Raw genomic sequence first — 23,751 nt, 5'->3', positions numbered from 1 at the left:
CTGGCAAGCAGGACATCAGTGGCTTTTGAGGGAGCAGTTTCAGTAAAGTGATGAGACTAGATTCCAATTTATAGCAGGAAGGGCTGGATAAGGATACAGGGTTTTGTGGTCAATGTAAAGTACATGGAGAGAATTGATGCTGCATGGCCCCGATGTTATGAGGTAATATTGTTAACTGCTACGAGTTGGATCTTTTTGAGCTGTGGAACTTTCTGAGACTTGTGGAGAGTGGGGAAGCACTGAAGAGATGCTCTTAGGAATATAAGAAGAGTCTGCAAGGCCACAGTGATGGCCTGGAAGAGTATGAATTGCATTCTGTAATTATGTGGCCCCTATTACCGACTGTTAATGATGTAACACATACAGTGCTGATGCATGTAGTGGAGTTGCTTCTAAGGCCTGAGACAGATTTTGAAGTTAGCATGTAAGGCAAAAATGGCATTGGTCAAAATTGTTCTTATAAATCTCTTAGGAAGGTGCAAGTGGGGACTGCCTTTCCATCTCCACAGGGAGCCAGCTCTCCCTGGAAGCAGCAGAATATTCTTCACTTGAGCACCAGGTGAAATAGTTGACTTGTATACAGCTAATGTTATATGAAAAAATGTGACTCTTTACACCAAAGCCATGCTCAGTTTAATTAAATACTCTCATTAAGAAGAAGTACTTGGGTCATTAATGAGGGATATTTAAGTACGGAAATTAACTGAGGGTACAAAAGAATTAGTTCCCCGTCTCTCTGCTTGTAGGTATGTGATGAATAAAATGAGGAATTGTGTACACTAAGTTGTAATTTTCAGTTTTCTTTTTCTTTTTAAATATCCTATGATCAGTTGACAATCAGTTTTCATTTTTAATTGAGCACATATAATTGAATTTGAGTAAATTAAATGCATGATGATGCAGCTCGCATCACTGCATTTTTTATTTCTCACTTGCCCAAAATTGAGAGAGTATAACATAGTCATTAAGAGGATGGGCCCTGGCTCAGACCACCTGGGTTTCAATCATGTCAACATCACTCACAATATGTGTAACTTTGGTTATGTTACTTAATCTCACTTTTCCTCCAATTTTTCATCTATCAAGTCAGCATGAAAATAGTAGCTACCTCATCTGTTTGTTGTGAGGACCAAGTAAGTTAATACAGGTAAAACACTCAATACTGTCAGAAATTATTATTGTTGTAGTAATGGTGTATGCTGATGCATAAGTGTGATTTGATGTTAGGCTACAACTTATATCACAAGGTCAGGCTTTTACTGGAGCTTAGGCTGTGGCCCAGTATATTATCTTGCCTTTCAAATCAAGGGCCAGATGAAAGAGCTGCTGACAAAGCTCAGATGTTTTACTGCAAAAAGCTGTGGGCGGGGAGGCTTATTTATGACTTTAAAAAAATTGAGCCTGCCCAAAGTGGGGGGTCTCTTTCAAAACTCAGAAAAAAACAAATACACCAATCAAGACACAAAATCATGGTCTTTGGACTAAGATAAATTGTAAATACATTGGGATGTAGTAGATTCTTAGTTAATTAAAGCTTTTTAGATTGTTTCTACCAAAACCTGTGGTGCTCTGTGTGTTAAAGGCAGACTCTTTTGGTGATGTGATATGATAAATTCACCAGATTTTAGGTCTCATGATTTTTTGCAAAGAGAGAGAGAGAGAGACATTTATTTCAAAAGAGCATCCCTATTGAAAAGGGACAATTAAATGAAGTCTAATGATGTGTTAATCATCATTAAAGTTAAAGGATGGTGGCCAGGTGCGGTGGCTTATGCCTGTAATCCCAGCACTTTGGGAGGCCGAGGCAGGTGGATCACTTGAGGTCAGCAGTTCCAGACCAGCCTGGCCAACATGGTAAAACCCCGTCTCTACTAAAAATACAAAAATTAGCCAGGTGTGGTGGTGTGCACCTGTAGTCCCAGCTGCTTGGAAGGCTGAGGCATGAGAATCATTTGAACCTGGGAGACGGAGGTTGCAGTGAGCTGAGATCACACCACTGCATTCCAGCCTGGGCAACAGAGTGAGACGTGGTCTAAAAAAAAAAAAAAAAAAATGGTGAAAATGTAATGGTGAAGTGGGGGGAAAAAAGAAGCTTCATTTTGATAGTGTGGGGGGAAAACAATACATCTAAGATAGGTCAGTTTTGAGTACGAAGCTTTTCATGTTTGGATTTTGCAATAGTCCCATTCAAATTTTTAGTAATAACTGGCATAAGCTTCCCATTACCACTTCTTTGAAGTATACCTGTCATGTTTGTAAAGATTTCTTTTTCAGAATGAAGCTGGCAGCCACGATAAACATGTTCACATTTAGAAATTGTCTATTTGAAAAAGAATTACTACAGTTTTGGTTCAGAAAATAATTAAATTAAGCTTCTTAGTGCTTTGAGACTATGGTACTGTGTAAACTTAGGAATAACATTTAGTTACCACTGAGCTTAATAGTGCCTTGAAGAATTAAAGTTCATTATTCACTACTTTTTTAAAAAGTCAGAACCATGATGAGTTGAATAATAGATGTCTTAAAAGTTAAATTTAGTTTGGTTAGTTCTATGGCTATCCCATAGCATTAGAGTATTAGAATAATTTATGCCTCATAATCATACAGTAGCTAATATTTATTGAGCATTTTTTTTGCCAGAAAAGATTCTAAGGGTTTTACATATATTAACTTATTTAATTATTACACCTCTGTGAAGCAGGTCTTGTTGTTACCCCTTTTTTATAGATGAAGAAACTGAGGCATAGAGAGGTTAAGTCACTTGCCAAAGACTTCATAGCTAGTATACAGCAGCGCCAAGATTTGTATTCATATCAGCCACTGCCAGGGCCTTAACCACCAGGCTAGACTGCCTGTACTTGAATACATAAATTCTGAGTTAGAGTTTAACATCCTTGAATTCTCATATATCTTAATTTTTAAAGAAGTAGGGCAAATTTACAAAATTAACTTGGGTTTATTGTACTAGTTATGCTACCCTGTAGAGAGGTTTCTGTTTCAAAGGTAGAATTCTTGAGAATTTAAATACTTCAGAATATTATGGGCCATTGAAACAAGACTTTGAGATGTGCTGGTTGTACTATTTAGTGTAGTAGACTGACAGGTTGTGTTACATTACCTCTTCTTGTTATCAATCTTGCCTTTGATAATACATGCCAAGTATTTTACTTACTACTCTTCAAATTGATTCTATGTCTGAGGATTTGGGGATAAGCAGTGGGTATGTTTGAGTTTGTAGCAAAGAAGAGATACTGGGTGGTTTTGGACAAAATAATTCCCTTGCGTTTTGGATGCTTTCTCAAGTAGTTTTTCTGACTGGTCAAAATTGACACAACAACCATCTGAACAAGTCTTTATGGCCTTCATTTGTTCCCTCATAGTTCCTCATATACCTTTGCTTTTTGTGCAAATTCAGAAGAGCATTATTTACAAGATACCATTATTTGAGCGGTAGCAAGTTCAGGGATGGGGAAGGTTCCGAAGAGCATCGTTCATTTATTCCGAAGATAAAACAAATTATTTCCTCAGGATGCTTCAGTTGGTTGCTGGTCTAGCCTAGGCCTTTCCCTTAGGTCTTATATCTCTAGAATGAAAAGAGAGGGGAGTTATTCCTATTAGGTCAATTTTATAAATTTTTAGGCTTACATTGCCATATGAAAAGATTAAAATTCTCTTATGTCTTAACCGACTCCAGAGTAAATTTAATTCCTTTGGAAATTATACTGATTTTATGTATGTGCATGTGTGTGGTTTGCATTATGATTTTGTGTGATTATAAAGATACGTTTGTGCAAGAGATTCAAACCATAAAGGCATAACCCCCCTCCCGCAAGCCCTCCACCCAGAATCAACTGGCATCATTTTAATGAATGAGCTTCTAGACCCCACCCTCCCCCAGGGTATATATATATAGAGAGAGAGATAGATAACTTTATATAAATAAAATCATACTATAGATGCTGTTTTGCTTTCTGTTACTTTGAGTCATGGGGATCTTTCCATGTCAGTATAGACTGTCTTTTTAAATGGCAGCATAGTATTCCAATGTGAATGTATAATAATTTATTCAACAAACCAGTATTTCCAGGCATCTGTCTTGTTTTTCATTGTACTCTTGTAGGCATTGTGCTGCTGGGAACATCATTTAAACCTAACATTTTCTCACATTTTTTTCATTTTTCTCCATGGGGTACATTTGTAGGTATGGGCTTGCTGAGTCTAGCAGAACGTACATTACAATATTTTATGATGTTGCCAGTTTGTCCCCCAACGTCTGATTGTTATGTAGTCAGATGTATCTTTCTAGGCAGGCTTTCTCCACCCTAAAATTATAAAAGTGTTCACTCATTGGAGTAGCCAGGGTTCTTGGTTGTAAAAACAGAAACTGGGCCGGGCGCGGTGGCTCACGCTTGTAATCCCAGCACTTTCGGAGGCCAAGGCGGGCGGATCACGAGGTCAGGAGATCGAGTCCATCTGGCTAACACGGTGCAACCCCGTCTCTACTAAAAATACAAAAAAAATTAGCCGGGCACGGTGGCGGGTGCCTGTAGTCCCAGCTACTCGGGAGGCTGAGGCAGGAGAATGGCGTGAATCCGGGAGGCGGAGCTTGCATGAGCCGAGATAGCGCCACTGCACTTCGGCCTGGGCAAAAGAGGAGCGAGACTCCGTCTCAAAAAACAAACAAACAAACAAACAAACAAAAACAGAAACTGATTGTGGTCTATTTAAAAAAACAAAAACAAAAATGGTATCCGGTGCTCCTAGCATTGGCAGGAAGACTAGAAATAAGGTGTTAAGGGAGCTGGGTGCCCTGCATCACAGTAAGGCCACATAGCAGGGATAGGCTGGTGAGACCAACCTTCCCCATCCCTGAACTTGCTGCCGCTCAAATAATATCAGGAATATGTTGTTTTCCCACTTTTCTTCATTGGTTTCCCCTGTAGTGTCTTCATTCTTACATGCATTGTTCCCATGTGGTAGTAAAGACAGCAAGAATCCATAGTCTTACCATTTTAGCATCCCAGAAAGAAAGAAGGCACTTCCCAATATTTTGTGTGGAAATCTTGGTGTGGAATCTCATTGGCCTGTCTTGGGATATGTATGCACCTGTGAACCAACCACTGTGGCAAAGGGGATGAAATGCACTGACTGGCCAGGCCTAGGCCATGTGCCCATCCCTGGTGCCGAGAATTAAGTCATCCAGACTGAGAAAAAAGGGAGAGGTGGTTCTCAAAGAAAAGAATGGTGAGGTTGTGAAAGAAGGGGAATAGATGCAACAAGAGAAATAAATATCCCCTGTGATTATGGTATATATTTTTAATATTTGACTGTATTCTTTTAGGGGAACAAAGTGCCATTTTACAATTTATCATTTCAGAAAATTAAACTTTTTATAAAATCTGTTCTTCATTGTACATGGGATTATTAAAATACCAGTAAGGATTTATTAAAATACCAATAAGGAAAGTAAGCTTCATTCTTTATTTTTCAATCAATTATCTTGAATTAAAGAAGGCTGTGGGGCCGGCTGCGGTGGCTCAAGCCTGTAATCCCAGCACTTTGGGAGGCCGAGGTGAGAGAATCACCTGAGATCAGGAGTTCGAGACCAGCCTGGCTGACATAGTGAAACCCCGTCTTTACTAAAAAATATAAAAATTAACCGGGCATGGTGGCCGGTGCCTGTAATCCCAGCTACTCGAGAGGCTGAGGCAGGAGAATCACTTGAACCCGGGAGGCAGAGGTTGCAGTGAGCTGAGATCACGCCATTGCACTCCAGCCTGGGGGATGAGAGAGACTTCGTCTCGAAAGAAAGAAAGAAAGAAAGAAAGAGAGAGAGAGAGAGAGAGAGAGGGAGAGAGAGAGAGAGAGAGAGAGAGAGAGAAAGAAAGAAAGAAAAGCAAGAAAGCTCTAAAGATGAGTAAAGATTTGCTTATTTTTCATTGTATACGTGGAATATGGATTCTTAAATATGCAGGATTCACACATGGTGAGGGTATACATTTTACTAAAGGACTGTATATTAGTGAAATTTGATATAGTATTCTAGACATGTCTAGAGGGATACATAACAGGCATACACTAGGAAAGCCAAAACTAAAACTAAAAAAAAAAAAAAAAAACCTCAATCACATGGCATAAAAAGTCATTGCTGTGTTTTACAAGACAGTCCTGTAGTCATTCAAAACTGTTTCCCCATTTGAGTCACTAGTTACTCAATATATTTTCTCCCATGAATGTCTGTAATATGTATTTTAGCAAACAGAAGAGTATCAAGAAACAATGTAGTGTAGTGAAACAAACATGGGTTTTGAAGTTAGACAAACTTGGGTTTCAATCTGATGTTTGTTTGTTTTTTTGATATGAGATGAGATCTGTATTAGTCCATTCTCAACGCTGCTGATAAAGACATACCTGAGACTGGGTAATTTATAAAGGAAAGAGGCTTAATTGACTCACAGTTCAGCATGGCTGAGGAGGCCTCAGGAAACTTACAATTATGGCGGACGGGATGCAAACTCGTCCTTCTTCACATGGTGGCAGCAAGGAGAAGTGCGAGCAAAGTGGGAAAAACCCCTTATAAAACCATCAGATCTTGTGAGGACTCACTTCGCTATCATGAGAACAGCATGGGGGGACTGCCTCCATCATCTAGTCACCTCCTACGAGGTCCCTCCCCCAGTGCATGGGGATTACAATTTGGATTACAATTCAAGATGAGATTTGTGTGGGGACCCAGAGCGAGACCTTGTCAGGATCTTACTGTGTTGCCTCTCTGGGCTCAAGCGATCCTGGTACTTCAGCCTCCTGAGCAGTTGGAATTTCAGGGGCACACCACTGTGCCTGGCTTCCAGTCTGATCTTAAAGGATATGACCTTGCATATGTCTCCCCATCTGAAACCTACCTCATGAGTTTAAGGATCAAATGATGTTTTTACGTAACAGTAGTAACTATTACCATTATTATAATAATTTGGAGTTATTACTTGAGGGAAAAGTAACATTTTTAAAGAAAATCGGTTGTTCCAATTAGCATATTCAGAGACGGTTGTATGTGTAGGGGAATTATGATACATTTCCAAATGTGTACTGGGATTTTTTTTTTAATATCTGCAGTTTTGGTATAGCTGTGGTAAGTAAGCCTTTGGGGTGAAAAGGTTGATTTACTAGAGATAGGCTGTGATGTGCCAGCTAGTATTACTCTACAGTGTTCAAGGATCTGTGAGAAGCAATACTTCCTGTACATTTTCAGGAGTAGAAAGGAGCAGTGGTGGCCCAAAGTGCCTGGCCGCTGCACAGTGGTCATGCCCCCTAAAAATTGAATGAGTCTGTAGAGTGAGCCCAATCTAGCCCAGGAGTGTTTGAACTCTGGGTCACACTTTAATTTGATTAACACTTTCACTTATTAATGGTCTTGATTTGTCTTGGCACTTTGCAATTAAATGGTCTATACAAAGACTTTCTCCTTTGGACACAGCGTATATTTGTCGTCTAACTACAGAGTTTAGCATCAAATAATTTTATGACAGACCACATTTGGCATGCCTAGTTATTCAGGGAATTTTCAAAGAACCATAGAGGGACTTTTTAGTCACACATCCTCTCTGTTCTTAGTCATCTACTCCTTTTATGGTAGTCATTAGCCAGTATCTCTCAACCTCTTCTACAATGTTTAACAGTTAGTGTACACTCTCTGTAGCACTGGTTTTTTTTGAGCTCTGTGTACTTAATAATGAGACAGTCAGCATATACTTGTGAAAACATAAACTAAATGTTGGTATATTCTCCGCATGGTTTCTTTTTATAGAACCACAGTTGTTAACACACATTAACTACTTCAAAATCACTAATTAAAACATTTTCTCATCTGTATTTTGGGAGTATTATCTTTTCTCCCCTCCAGTTGTACCACTTAAGTATCATTGGTTACATTCAGAATTAAGGGACAAGAGAAATGAAAGACAGTGTGATTTAGAAGTTTTCCTTTAATGCATAGGAAAACAGACGTTTTCATATTCTAGGTAATCAGAAGTACCTTCTACATTTAACTACTTGACCCTAATGACCTGGTCAAATTCCAGTGTTGCACAATTGCATTGTACCTTCCCTAATACCCAGTGAATTTAATTGTTTGGCTACAAACTATTCCCCTTAACTTTTTAGAACCATTTTGTAGGCTGTGCTCTTATAAAGATATATCAAAAGCCGCACTTGTCACCTTTTCTAAAAATGCAAGTCATTTTCACCCCCTCTCCTTCTAATCCTTCTACTTTCTCCCCATATTTATAAACACATTTCCCAAAAAATATTCAATCTTCTTTTTCATGGATCCAAAAGACATTGGACATATGGCTTGAACACAACACTGGGGTAATAATTAATTAAGGTAAGAAAGCAAGGATTTTGGAAAGTGTGGGTTGATGAGTCAGATAATGGTAGGATTTTTCTCCTGATCTCTGGTAAGGTATTACAAAGTTCTCTCCTAATTGTCTTGCAGGCCCCTGACAGCATATCCTGAATTAAACTTGTTCTGTTTTCCCAGCTTACCCTTCTAAATTCTCTATTTCCTGTCACGGCATCTCTCTCCATCCCTTAATCATCTAAACTGGAATCCCAGCTCTCTATTTCACACCCCATATCCAATCCCCTCGGCCCTTAGGGGAGAGCGGGCAATAGATCCTGGCTGCGCTGGTCACCTGTGGGCTCCAGCAGCAAACAGGTGGGTTCATTTCCTGCAGTATGCTGTACAAATGTTTTATTTTTGTATGCCCTGATGTGAAAAGGTTTGGAAAGTATTCAGGATAGAATTTACACTCGTATGAAGGCTGTGCCAGAAATGACCCCAACTGACTTCTGCTTCATCCTCTCCCTCTCTCCTCAAGTACATTTTATGTTATAACCTCATCAAAAAAAGTCTCAGTATCCTAAATACACACACTTTGCCATTTTATTTCCCCATCCTTAATTACATCATTTTGTGGTTGCTTCTCCCTGTTTCTGCATGGTGAAATTTTATTCCTCCTTTAAGCGTAACCCAAATGTTATCTCTTCCTTGGCCTTAGTAGGGAGAATTAATGGTGTTTTCTTTTGTGATTCCAGAGCTTATGCTTTTAACCATTATGCTATGGTGAGCCAGTAAATCTCTATTTCTCTGGAATTAGGCTACCTGGGTTTAGATCCCAGCTATATAGCAGCTGAATGACTTTGGGTAATTGTGTAAACCTTCAAGTACTCAGTTTTGTTATTTGTAACCTGGATATAACAGTAGTCTCTAACTGTGTCACTAGGATTAAGTGACAGAGAATGTTATTTAGTGCACAGTAAATGTTTTCTTACAATGATTATCTGAATATTTATCAAATATTTGGAAAAAAAAAATCTTCTTGTTGTGTGTCCTGTACTGGGTTGTAACCTCCTTGAGGGAAGGGGCTGTATCTTATTCCTGTATCTTATTCATTTTTGTCCAATATTTATGATAGTGCTTGGCACTATTATTAGTATTAGCATTAAGCATTCTATAGATCTTCCTCTCCACCAGGAAGTATCTCCTTCAAATACCCTCACAACAACTCTATGAGGGAGATACTGTTTCGTCCATTTAACTAAGGCATAGAAAGGTTAAGTACTTTGTCTAAGGCCACAAGCTAGTAAGAATTTGGACCCCAGGCAGCCTGGAACAAATTCCAAGCTATTAATCACCACACTAGGCTACCTCCTAGTAGGTACTTAGTAAATCTCCATTGGAACAAATAGATGAATGAGATTCAGATAAACAGGCAGGTGGGATGGAGTGCTAGGAAATGGTCCTATTGAAAAAGATGTGGGTAAGAAGTGAGGAAAAAATTATCAAGAGCTAGACTAAGTGAGTAAGAGGAAACATTGATAATAGTACTATAGTAACACCAGGGGGTAATCAGTATTAGTGTCCTTTGCAGATACATAAAACTTTATTTTCTGAGTTGGAAAGCTTCTGGATTGCAAAAAGTAGCTTTATGCCTCAAATGAGCTCAGTTTATATCCCAATTAAAATATATTACAATGAGAATTTATTTTTCCACCGTGATAGAGTTACTGGCACTGGTCCTCCCTCCTATTTCAAGTAACAAGAAAACTGGACACAATGTATGAAAGAACTGTTTCCAACACTGGACAACAGGCAGTGCAGACAGGGATCTCTAAGAGAGGGGAACAGAGTCAGTCTTGGGATCACCACAGGTTTCTGAGTGCAGGCACTATGCATCCACCATGTAGCAGAGCTGAGGGAGGAGAGAGATTGGAGGTCAGTGAAGCTGAAAAGACTGGGACTTGTGAGGCAAAGTGCCAGAGAGGAGGGAGCTATGCAGAAAAAGAACTTCACACATCTGCATAGGATCCCTTGAGTTTGTTGCCAGATACTCAGCTATGCATGCCTACAGTTAAACTCCCCATGGCCAGATGTGTTGGTGGTTCCCAGATCACCCTCTGTTTGATGACTTTCTAGGAGGACCCACAGGGCTCAGGATGTACTCCTGGCTAAGATTTGCTACAGTGAAAGGCTACAAAGCAAAAAAACAACAAAGGGAAAAGATGCATGAGATGAAGTTTGGAGGAAGCCAGGCACAACAAGCTTCGAAGAGTCCTCTTCTGGTGGAGCCACACAGGATGCACCTAATTTCCTTAGCAATGAGTTGTGACAACACATGTGAAATGTTGTCTACCAGGAAAGCTCATTAGAGACTCAGTGCCAGGATTTTTATTAGGGGTAGTCACATTCTGCCTGCCACATACCAAAATTCCAGACTTTCACAAAGAAATCAGGTGTTCAGCACAAACCATATTGTTTACACAAATAATTTAGGCACTGTGAGCCACTCTTAACAGGGTGTTCAGAATGATCCTAAAATCCAAGTTCCCAGGTGTTAGCTAGGGGCCAACCTTGTAAGCAGGGCTTTCAAAAGGCAGCATTTGCATCTGCTATGTTAACTTTTTAATACGCTTTGGGCAGAGAACTGTAAGAGATCCCAGAGGACATTTGACAATTTCTGGAGACATTTCTGTTGTCGTAACTGGGAGGTCCACAGACATACATTGGATAGAAGCCAGGAATGCTGCTAAATGCTATGCAGTCCACAGAACAGCCCCCATCCCCTCAACCAAAAATTATGTGGCCCAAAATGTCAGTAGTGTCAAGGTGGAGAAACTCTCGTCTAGACCTACCCTAACAGAATTTAACAACAAGCCTGGAAGGGATCAAGTTGATTTGCAAGTAACTTAAATGCTAGTCAAAACAAAATCAGCGGGTGGGCAGGGTGGCTCACGCCTGTAATCCCAGCACTTTGGGAGGCCAAGGTGGGTGGATCACCTGAGGTCAGGGGTTCAAGACCAGCCTGGCCAACATGGCGAAACCTCATCTCTACTAAAAAATACAAAAAATTAGCCAGGCGTGGTGGTGGGCACCTGTAATCCCAGCAACTTGGGAGGCTGAGCCAGGAGAATTGCTTGAACCCGGGAGGCAGAGGTTGAAGTGAGCCAAGATCACGCCACTGCACTCCAGCCTAGGCAACAGAGCAAGATTCTGTCTCAAAATAATAAATAAATAAATAAAATAAATAAATTATATACCAGGTGAAAATACCCTTCAAAAATGAAGACAAAACAAAGACATTTTCAAATCAAAAGCTATGAGAACACATGGCCAGCAGACCTGCACACCAAGAAATGTAATGGGAAAATGTTCAGGCTGAAGAAAAAGAGATCCCAGATGGGAATTTAGAAATACACAAAACAATAAAGAGCACTGGAGGTGGCAAATATATGGGTAAATACAGGAGACTTCTTTCCCCATTAAAATTTTATAAAAAATCCTTTTAAACAACAATTGACTGTTTAAAGCAAACAGGAGAATATTGTATTGTGGGCCTTATAATCTATGTAGAAGTAAATGTATGAACCAATATAGTACCAAGAATGGCTTTTACAATATATATGAAGTGATCTAATATTATTTGAAAGTACAGGTTGAATATCTCTTATCCAAATTGCTTGGAACCAGAAATGTTTTAGATTTTGGACTTTGGAATGTTTGCAGTATGCTTACTGATTGAGCATCCCTAATCTGAAATCCCAAATGCTCCAATGAACAATTTTTTTGAGCATCATGTCAGGGCTAAAAACTTTTCCAACTACAGAGCATTTTGGATTTCAGATTTTTGGGTTAGGGATCCTAATTCTGTTAAATTAAAAATGCATAGCGTAGTGCCGGGCACAGTGGCTCACGCCTGTAATCCCAGCACTTTGGGAGGCCAAGGCAGGTGGATCACAAGGTCAGGAGTTCAAGGCCAACCTGGCCAACATGGTGAAACCCTGTCTCTACTAAAAATACAAAAATTAGCTGAGCATGGTGGCGTGCACCTGTATTCCCAGCTACTCGAGAGGCTGAGGCAGGAGAATCGCTTGAACCTGGGAGGCGGAGGTTGAAGTGAGCCGAGATTGCTACACTGCACTCGAGCCTGGCAGCAGAGCAAGACTAAGTCTCAATAAAAAAAAAAAAGCATCTTGTAAATACTAATAAAGAAATAAAGAGAAATAGCTAATGTATAAATGGAAAAGATAAAATGAAATAGTAAAATACTCAAAAGAAGGGAGGAAAATGTAGTCAAGAACAGATGGTGGAGGTAAGGAGTAGAATGAAGGTTACCAGAGGCAGGGAAAGGTAAGAAGTAGAATGAAGGTTACCAGAGGCAGGGAAAGGTATGAGGGTGTGTGTGGCGGGGGGAGTTGGGGATGGTTAATGAGTACAAACATATAGTTAGGTAGAATGAATAAGATCTAGTATTTGATAGGACAACAGGTAACAATATATTATATATTTAAAAATAACTAAAAGAATATAATTGAAATGTTCATGACACAAAGAAATGATAAATCCTTGAGGTGATAGATACTCCATTTACCCTGATGTGATTATTACACATTGTATGCCTATATCAGAATATCTCATGTACCGCATATATATATCCACCTACTATGTACCCATAAAAATTAAAAGTTAAAACAAAGAACAGATGGGACAAATAGAAAACAAGTACCAAGATGCTAGACTTGAGCAAATCCATATCAATAATTACATTAAGTGTAAATGGTTTAAACAATCCATGTAAGGGACTCAGAGTGGGGAAAAAAGTGATTCAACTATATACGCTATCTATAAGCAGGGCCTAACTATATGCCATCTATAATTATATGTTATCTGCACTTAAAATATAAAGGCACAGGTTAAAAGGATAAGGAAAAATAAACCATGCAAACACTAATCAGAAGGAAGCTGTAGTGGCTATATCGATATCAAAGTAGATTCAGAACAAGAAATATTGACCAGGCGTGGTGGCTCACGCCTGTAATCCCAGCACTTTGGGAGGCCGAGGCGGGTGGATCACCTGAGGTCAGGAGTTTGAGACCAGCCTGGCCAACATGGTGAAACCCCGTCTCTACTAAAAATACAAAAATTAGCCAGGTGTGGTGGCGGGTGCCTGTAATCCTAGCTACTCAGGAGGCTGAGGCACGAAAATTGCTTGAACCCAGGAGGCGGAGGCTGCAGTGAGCCGAGATTGCACCACTGCACTCCAGCCTGGGCGACAGACTGAGACTTTGTCTTAAAAAAAAAAAAAGAAAAAAAAAAAAAAAAACAAGAAACATTACCAGGGATAAAGAAGACATTTTATAATGATTGTGGTGATTTTAAAATATGTCTTCATATTGTTAGATATACTTTTCTTTAAGAGGTAGAGCCTAATTCTTCTCCTCTTGAATGTTGATTGGACTTTGTGACGCATGAATAGAATATGGTAGAAGAGATAAAAGATATTGTGGCTTCCAACTTAGTTGCTCTCTACTTAGTCATTTGCTCTGAGAGAGGTCAGCTGCTATGGATGAAGAGAGGTTCACATAGTGAGCAACGAAGACCTCCAACCAAGAGCCACGTGTGTGAGCCATCTTGGGAGCATATCCAACAACCCCAGTCAAGCCTTCAGATAACTGCAGCCCCAGCCAACCTGTTAACGGCTACCTCATGGGAGACCCCAGACCAGAACCACCCAACTAAGCTACCCCTGAATTTCTGAATTTCTGATCGGCAGAACCAGTGTTTGTTATTTTAATAAATGTTTATTATTTTAAGCTGCAAAGTTTTAGAATAATTTGTTACCTAGCTTTAGATATCCAATAGAATGATAAAAGGATTGATTCATCAAGAAGATATTCAAATCATGAATCTGTATGCAGTTGACATCTTCAAAATATACTATATAAAACCTGAGAAAACTAAAACCAGAAATAGATCATTCTGCAATTAAGCTGGAAATTTCATTACTCCCAGCCCAGTAATTGATAGTACAAAAATAGACAAAAAATTGGAAAGGAATGGGAAGACTTGAAAAACACTATCAACCAACGTGATTGAATTGATTTTTACGGAATACACTACCCAGTAGTAGGAGAATACGTATTCTTTTCAAGTGCATATGGAGTGTTCACCAAAATATACCATATTCTGGCCTATAGAAAAAGTCTCAGTAAATTTTAAAAGATAGAAATCATGGAGAGTGTTTTCTGATTACAAGAGAAACTAGAAATCAGTAACAAAAATGTACCTGAGAAATTCTCCAAATATGTAGAAATTAAACTTTGTAGTTTAAATATAACACATGGATGGTTTGAAGAAATCACAAAGGAAAATAGAAAATATTTTTAACTGAACGAAATCACAGCATGTCAAAAGTTGTGGGATGCAGTTAAAGCAGTACTTGAGGGAAATTTATAATTTTAAATGCTTATACTAGAAAAGAAAGAAGAGCCAAAATCAATTATTTAAGTTTTTACCTGGAGGAACTAGAAAAAGAAGGGCAAATTAAATCCAAAGTGAGTAGAAGAAAGAAACTAATAAAGAGAAATCTATAAAATAGAAAAAGGGCAGCTAATACTCCCCCAAAAATCTATGAAACAAAAAAATTAGTTCTTTACAAAGAATAATAGAATGGATTAAATGAGTCTGATGCATTTTTGCATCCTTAAAATACAATACACTGTTGACATGACTTTTTGAAAGCCAAAATGCTGAATTCCTCGTTGTTCTTTATTTGAGATATGTGGCCTTGTTCTGAGTATTCAGCCAAAATAAAACTTACTTAAGCAAGTGTCAGTCAGAAGTTTAGTTATGATAAGTTGTATTTATTTTTGTCCAAACATTTCAGAAAGTTTCCTCTGAAAGGTAGTTATGGAGAAATAGTATTTGGGAAAAAACCTTACAATCTATGTGTTCTCTATTTTGTCTTTAATTTTGAACAAAAAAGGTATGTAAAGCAGGTGATGAAAAGTTTGAGATCAAGACCAAATATATGTGTTCCAGAAAAATCCAGTTAAAGATGTTGAAAGACACATATTGGACATTCGTAGATTCCATTCGCAAGAAATGTATTTTCATAATATACAACATTTATGGCGAGGTGTTATTCAGATACTATAGATTATTTTTTTAAATTTTCCAAAAGAAAGAAAACTATGCAAAGACCAAACTATCAACATGTCAATGATCATGTGCAATTTTAATAGTTTATCTCTTCAGTTACTAAACCCATTGATAAGTAATCTGTGCCACTATTTGTAGTTATTCACCGTGACAGAATCTTGTAATAAAGATGAAGTAAATATGTATGTATAAGGAGTAATTTTGTTCTTAATGAAAATGATTTCAACTATTTGGTTTTTTTCAATTTGTAAGATAATAAACTACTTGATTGTTCAGCAAATACTGAGTACAAGCCCAAGGAAAATGTAAAATTAATTAAAATTCTCATAACCACTAGGATATTTAGTAAATTTATGTTGTTTCTTGATGATTCACTATCTGATTATCTAGTTCATAGACTACATGGATTTTCTGTTTGCTTATAAAATCTTAGAATCAAAAATATAGTCCTGCCCCTCATTCAGTTTCCTTTTACTTTTCATCTTTTGAACACTTCACTGATCACGAGCCTTCCAGATACGGGAAGAAATACTTAAAATTGACCCAGTCAGTTCTGCTATATTCTAATGGTGCTTTTAAGAGATTTCTTCATGTTGTAGTGGATGAGAAGTGGGGTGGAGGATGGATATACAATGATAAAACAACTAAGTAACTAATCCTCAATTTTAGGATTATTGGTAGAATTGAATTTCAGATTCTGATTTTTAGCTTCATTTAACCTCTTCGTTTGTAATATGCTTGTCCACCCGCTTCTCAAGAATAGTTTGTTTCTGTTTTTGATTTTCTTCCTTCTGAAGTATGAATTTTCACCCCAGGCAAAAGATGAGAGTTAATAGACTAATAGGGCAGACAAAAGGGAAAACTTTATAAAGATTCATTTTTTCTAAGGGAATTTTGATGGTTTGATTAGATGGGGAACAATGCTAGAAACAAAAGGAGACTTTTGACTGGCCCAGAGGAGAACCAGTTTTAAGGATAGAGGACTATCATTCTTTCTGCCTATTGTACAGTTTTCAGCTACCAGGAATTCTTGAAGTACTGTGAATCCCAGGGATTAAGTAAAGACAGAGTAATAATTACACCCGTTATTGGTGGGAATTGTTTGCACTCTTGTTTCTTTTATGCATGTCTTCCTTCCACATTTTTGGAGTTTACTCTATTTGACAGCTGTGCTATTTGACAGTAGTATTTTTATAGTTCAACATAACTGAATGTAATATAGATGTAACTCTATTTTCTGTAATTTTCTCTTTTTTATTTATTTATTTTGTTTTTATTTATTTGGGGCTGTGTTTATGAAGTAAGAGGAAATAAAACACCAGACAAATTTGAATTCTAAGATTTATTGTTGCAGAGGGTAAGATCTAATGCCATCATAAATAGATATAAAATGAACTGTGACCATCTGCACTCACTCTGCCTTTCTTTTTGATTTGTTTTAGTGAGTGTTTCCCTTTTCTGAATTCAACTTCTCAACTTATTCTTTCCCTCTTTCTTCTTCTTATTCCTAGGTGTTTCTTCCTGGGCTAAAGCAGTACTTAATTATTTCTTCTCAGAACTAGATCTTCCCTGTTTCGTTTTAAAAAAAAATATGACCTGTCTAGAACCTCACTTTTCTTACACGGTTTATTTGGCAGATAACATTTTTTAAAATGAATATTGTGAAATCTGTAAATTTTCTAGTAAAATAATAACTTTCCATCATAGTGGGCACTAAATAAACATATGTTGACTTAATTAAAATGAATTCTTGTACTTAGATTTAATGCAGAATTGAGAAATACCCAGATTATCAGAGTCCCCAGAAAGGGATCAATTAATCCCAGCAGACTAAAGCCAAAGGTCACCATGTTCCCAATGGTTTTGTAATTCTCTAGAGACTGGCAAAAATGAACCCTTGGTTACTAGGTCACATTGCATAAGAAGAGGAGTGTGAACTCTATTCATTCAACAAAATGTATCTAATACCTGGAATAATCTAGGCATTGTGTGGTGTTGGGATATGGTGGTAAATAAGGTAGAAGTTGTCCCTGCCTTCATGAGGTTTGCATTCCAGGTTCCCTGAGAAATCTGATCCTTAGCTAGAGGCAGCCATTTCTCATCTGCTGACTGATTTCTCTTCTCTTTGTTTCTCAAACCATGTCCAGGGGTTTTCTTTGTTAACATTCTGTTATACCATTACCTGGGTACTCCTATCACAATGTCTTATACTGACTAGATGTCTATTTTTCCAGATTATAAGGGACTGTCTTTTTATTTATATTGCTCCAATACCTAACAGAATAATTGGAACATGGTCGGTTTCAAGATATGTTTGTTTACCAAGTTAGTCAAACTAGAACAGTGCTTCGCAGCTTTTTCTGTGTTATGACACACAAAAAATATTGAAGAGAGCAAGCCCTCCTGAGGCACTGGCTTGAGGGTTTCCATTGCTCTGGGCCCTCGGTGGCTGCCTTGCAGATGGAAGGATCAGCATCTCAGTGTACCTGCCACCCATTCATGGTACTTTGCACACCGTGCAGAAGCTCTGCACTGGAGAGTACCATGTGCTATTGGAGGTCTGCGGATCTGGAGGTTATAGTTAGAGAAAATGGAGAAAGAGCAGTGGCCAAGAGCAAGTGTATGGCAATGGGGCTGGAGGGCAGAGTTATTTAAGAATAAAGGCTGAAAAGTAATCTAGGGATTTTAGCCAGTTGTGGAGGAGAATACGTTTTTGTTTTTTTTTTTTTTTCTTTTTTTGAGACAGAGTCTCGCTTGGTTGCCCAGGCTGGAGTGCAGTGGCGCGTTCTTGGCTCACTGCAGCCTCCCAGGCTCAAGCAACCCTCCCACCTCAGCCTTCTTTTATTTTTTGTAGAAATGAGGTTTCGCCATCTTGCCCAGGTTGCTCTAAAAGTCCTGAGCTCAAAAGATCTGCCTGCCTCAGCCTCCCAAAGTACTGGGGTTACAGATGTGAGCCACTGGACCCAGCTGAGAATAAGCTTTGAAAAAATTCCTGCAGGTTAGCTTTGGAAGGTAGGCCTTAGTCTTTGAAAAGAGTGGTAATTTATGGAAAATTTCCTCCTTTCTACTTTCTTATCATCCTGCCCTCTCAAAACACCATGTGCAAAATGCAGCTGGTTTTACAACTCTGTGAATATACTAAAAGCCGTTGAGTTGTACACTTTAAATGGATGAGTTGTATGGTATGTGAATTCTAACTCAATAGATCTGTTATATTTTCCTCCACTGTACTTGAGTTTTTAAAAAATAAATCTGAAGGGAAACAAAAGAAAAATGATTTCTCTATGCAACAGAGAGTCTACTTAGAGGGTTGGAATTACCAAGATGTGAATATTTAAATTATCAATACTTAAACATTTCCAAATCTGAATATTTAGAAATTTGCTTGTTTTTATTGATACCTCATGAGTTTTATAACATTTTATAAATCTCACAGATAGAATTTCATCTTGAGTTATAATCAAGATTCTATTTTATCTTGGTGGAAAAGAGTAAGAGATCTTTATGGCTATAATGTAGATTATTACTTTGATATGAAATCATTAGCCTTAAAATATTTAAACAAAATTAATTACTTGAGTACTTTCAAAGGCTGTTTTGCTAGTGTTCAAATTGTAGCTATAAACAAAGTTATTTTAATACTCCGAATGATGTATTCCCTTTATTTTCATATAAATACTACCTACAAGATTGTAGTATGTGTAAAAGCAGCAAAATCATGAAATGAAATGCATGTATGCCCTTTAAAAATTACCTTTTTTTTTTTTTTTTTTTTTTGAGACAGAGTTTTGCTCTTGTTGCCCAGGCTGGAGTGCAAGGGTGTGATCTCGGCTGACCGCAACCTCTGCCTCCCGGGTTCAAGCAATTCTCCTGCCTCAGCCTCCCAAGTAGCTGGGATTACAGGCATGTGCCATCAAGCCCGGCTGATTTTGTATTTTTAGCAGAGACGGAGTTTCTCCATGTTGGTCAGGCTAGTCTCGAATTCCTGACTTCAGGTGATCTGCCCGCCTCGGCCTCCCAAAGTGCTGGGATTACAGGTGTGAGCTACTGTGCCCAGCCCTCAAAAATTACCTCTTATCATTGATATTTCTATTTTGTAAGTCTGTATCAGTTATCTATTTATTGCTACATAACAAATTATCTCAAATTTAGCAGCTTACAACAACAAGCATTTATTATCTCAGTTTTTCCATGAGTCAAAAATCCAGCTGCAGCGTAGTTGGGTGCCTCTGCCCCACAGTGTCTCAGTGTCAGGCAGGGTCACAGTCGCATATGAAGGCTCAAATAAGGAAAGATTTACTTCCAGGCTCTCTCACATGGTTGGGGGAAGGATTCAGTTCCTTACAGGCTGTTGGAATGAGGACCTCAGTCCCTCATGGGCTGTTGGATGGTGTCCGTATCATAGGAATTTCTGTCTAGAGTAGCTCACAGCATGGCAGCTGGCTTTCACCAGAGCAAGCAAGCAAGAGAGCAAGAAAGGGTAAGGAAGATGGAAGCCACAGTCCTTTTGTAAACCTAATCATGACCTTTACTGCCTCTGTTTGTTAGAAGTGAGTCGCTAGGCCAGCCTACTGTCAAGGAAAAGGGAATTTCCCCAGGGTGTGAATACCTGGAGGCAGGAATCACTGGAGGCCATCTCAGAGGCTGCCTACCACAACGTGTCTCTCAGAAGGTTCTACATAATATATATTTCAACTTAGAATTCATTTTTTACTAAGAATTTTGTGGTATCTCCCGAAAATATTAGTGATACTCAAAGATATAAAGAAAGATTAGGGAACAATGCACTAGCACTATGATCATATAACTTTCTATCTTCACTTGCTTCACCATCCCTGGAGCATTGCCTTTGTCCAAGATGGCTGAACACCCATTAAATCAGCCATTGGAAAGGGAGGGGGGATGGGCACAACCCAAAAGTGACAGCTGTCAATTTAGCTCACTTCAGCTCAAATCCTGTTTGCCAATCACATGGGCACACCCAGCTACAAAAGAGGCTAGGAAATTTAGTCTTTGGTTGGGCAGTCATGGACTCAACTAAAAATTAATTATTGTGGAGGAAAGGGGAGAATATATATGGAAAGCTAGAAGTCTCTGCCCAAGGCTGTCAACAACATCAAAATGGATATCACACAGCCATGCATTAATGCATTTTACCCAGAGGTGACTAAAATCATGTCCCCAGTTCAGAGCCTCTTAGTCTTATTTAGACAGAATTCTTATTAGCTTGGTTATAGGGCTTCCTAAATCGTTACAGATTAAAAGGAAGTGTAGTGAGTGGCAGGCATCTTGACAGCTGCAAAAATTGAGAGCAGAATGCCCCAAAACAAATAAGGATGTACAAAAGGCTGAGGCAAAAGTTAAACTGGCAATTCAGAGGAATCTGATACAGGGGCAAATAGTCCTATGAACTTTAGTGGCCCTGAGGCATTGCCCATTTAACAACATTGCCACATAGTAAAATATTTAGGTTAAGTAATCAAGATCCAGAGTCTTCCACTGTGGTTAAAAGAAAAAACATTTTGACACTCTAAAAGAAGGTAAGCTTCATCAGTTTTCTGGAATTTTCATTTATGTATAATGTTCTATGAAAGTGATTCTGTCAAATAAAGGAGAGGCCCCTCTGCTTGCCATTCTTTTCACCTTCATCTAATTAACACCACATTGTTTGTGTAGGAAAATGCCTTCTGAATTCCATTTTTGGAGTCTAGGATTATATATTATCTCAGAGGGTTTGGCACTAGTACTTTTCCTTGTTTTTGAAGAAAGTACTTATTATATTCACCAATCCCCAAATATTTCAAATTGTAGACACAGAGCAGTTACTCTCCATCCCCACCTCCCTATCCTATAAAGAGTATAGGACTTTCTGGTTGCACAGAAAGTATTATTGTAGGTATAGGATTGTCAAAATTTTCCCATGTTCTCATGCTTTTTAAGCCAACTGGCATACTAGGTAGTATTGCAATCCTGATACATTATTCTTGAATGTTCTTTCCCATTTCTGTATCTGGCAAACCTTTATTTGCTTAAGACGAAGTCCCATTGTAAAATAAGTTGTATTATACATGTAAAGCACTATCAATAAAAGGAAAAATTGACAAATTAGACAGTCAAATTTAAAAGTTTGCTCTAGGAAAGACCATGTTAAGAGGATGAAAATACAAACTACAGACTTGGGGAAAAAATATTTGCAAACCATGTATATGACAACTAAGATATATAAAGAACACTGGAAACTCAACTGTAAAAAAATCATAGAATCAAATTTAAAAATGGGTAAAAGGCATGAAGAAACATTTCACCAAAGAGGATATACAAGTGCAAAAAGATGTTCAACATTATTAGGGAAATGCATTTTAAAACCACAAGATACAAACACACCTCAGAAAGGCTAAAATAAAAAATAGTGAAAACACCAAGTACTGATGAGGATATGAAGAATCTAGTTCACAGGCACATTTGCTGGTGGGAATGTAAAATATTGCAGGCACTCTGAAAAACAGCTCGGCGGTTTCTTTAAAAACTATGCGTGACGCTACCACACGACCCAGCAATTGCACACTTGGGCATTTATTCCAGAGAAACGAAAACTTAAATTCTTACAAAAACCTATATACACAAGTGTTAGTAGCAACTTTATTTGTAATAGCCCCAAACTGTAAACAACCCAGATGTCCTTCAGTGAGTAGGTAGTTAAACAAACTATGGTACTTTCAGCACTACTCAGCAACGAAAAGGAACGGGCTAATGATTCATTCTACAACCTGGACGAATTATGCTGAGTGAAAAAAAGCCAATCCCAAAAGTTTCAGACTGTATGATTCCATGTATGTAACATTTTTGAAATGACAAAAATCATAGAAATGGTGAACAGATTAGTGGTTTCCAGGAGGTCAGGAAGGTGGGGAGTGGGGAGTGCAAGGGAGGGAAGTGGATATGGCTATAAAAAGGCAACACAAGGGATTTGTTTGATGGCAATATTCTGTATCTTGTCTCTATCAATGGCAACATCTTGTGCCATACTTTTGCAAGATAGCACCCTTGGGGGAAACTGGATAAAGGGGACATAGTATCTCTCAGGATTGTGTCTTCCAACTGCATATGAAAATACAGTTATCTCAAAAACAAAGTTTACTTAAAAAATTATGAGCTCCTTAAAACTCCATTGGACTGTGAACTCCTTGAGGGAAAGTATTTTATTTATTCAGCAGCTGATACAGTGCTGACTTGTAGAAGATGTTTGAAAAGTATCTGTGGGTTGCCTTAGGTGAGAGAGGCTAACCATTTGAATGTAGCCATATTAAGCACCCATAACTGACAGTACATCTCCAAATGAAGGGCAACTCTCTGCTGACCCATTCATTTAAAAACTGTCTACTGAGCATCTACTTTATGGTAGGCATTGTTCTGAGTGCTGGTGTCTTAATTCAGGCTGCTGTAACAAATTAGCACAGACTGGATGGCTTAAACAGCAAATATTTCTTATGGTTCTGGAGGCTGGAAGTCTGGGATCAGGGTGCCAACATGGTTGGGCTCTTGGTGAAGGCCCTCTTCGTGGTTATATCATTATATGGCCTTTCCTTGGTTTGAGCACATACACAGAGAGGGAGAGATTCCCTATCTCTTTCTTTTTCTCCAAGGGCACTAACCTCTATCATGGGGACTCCACTCTATGACCTCATCTAAACCTAATTACCTGCCAAAGGCCCCACCTCCAAATACTATCACACTGGGGATTAAGGCTTCAATGATGAATTTGAGAAGGGGACATAAACATTGAGACCGTAGCAGCTAGAAATATAGTAGTGAACAAAATCAGGGGGGAATGCCCTGGCTTTCAGGGACCTTACAGTTTAACTGAACAGAAGACAATGACTATAATACATAAATTATGCAATATGTTAGGAAGTAATAAGTGCTATGGAAAAAAATTTTAAAGCAGTGTTTACGGGTTAAGGATATAGAAAGGCATGCAAGAGTGGGTGGTTGCAGTTTTAAACAGTTTGAAGAATATCATTTGAACAAAGGCTTGAAGAAAGTGAGAGAGAAAACCATGTGGATATATGGGAGAAGAAAGTTCCAGGCAGAAGGAACAGCCATTGTAAAGGCTTTGAGGTAGAAATGTGTCTAGCATGTTCAAAGACTAGTGAGCAGGTAAAGCCAGTGTTGGTGAAACAAGATGTATGAGGGAGAATAGTTTGGTGAGAGGTTAGAGGGACAGTGAGAATATAGAACATTGAGAGCCTTTT

At 38.5% G+C, this 23,751-nt stretch overlaps 2 annotated features.

The window, feature by feature from the left end:
- Positions 6,411-6,470: an enhancer, noted in NCBI's record as "active region_15904". NCBI's record gives its function as "activates an Ori minimal core promoter by ATAC-STARR-seq in GM12878 lymphoblastoid cells {active_cell/tissue: GM12878}" and the evidence as "EXISTENCE:reporter gene assay evidence [ECO:0000049][PMID:35858748]".
- Positions 7,548-7,617: an enhancer, noted in NCBI's record as "active region_15903". NCBI's record gives its function as "activates an Ori minimal core promoter by ATAC-STARR-seq in GM12878 lymphoblastoid cells {active_cell/tissue: GM12878}" and the evidence as "EXISTENCE:reporter gene assay evidence [ECO:0000049][PMID:35858748]".

Source organism: Homo sapiens, chromosome 2 (assembly GCF_000001405.40).
Source record: "Homo sapiens chromosome 2, GRCh38.p14 Primary Assembly".
Classification (NCBI taxonomy): domain Eukaryota; kingdom Metazoa; phylum Chordata; class Mammalia; order Primates; family Hominidae; genus Homo; species Homo sapiens.
This window is presented reverse-complemented; position numbering and strand designations above follow the sequence as displayed.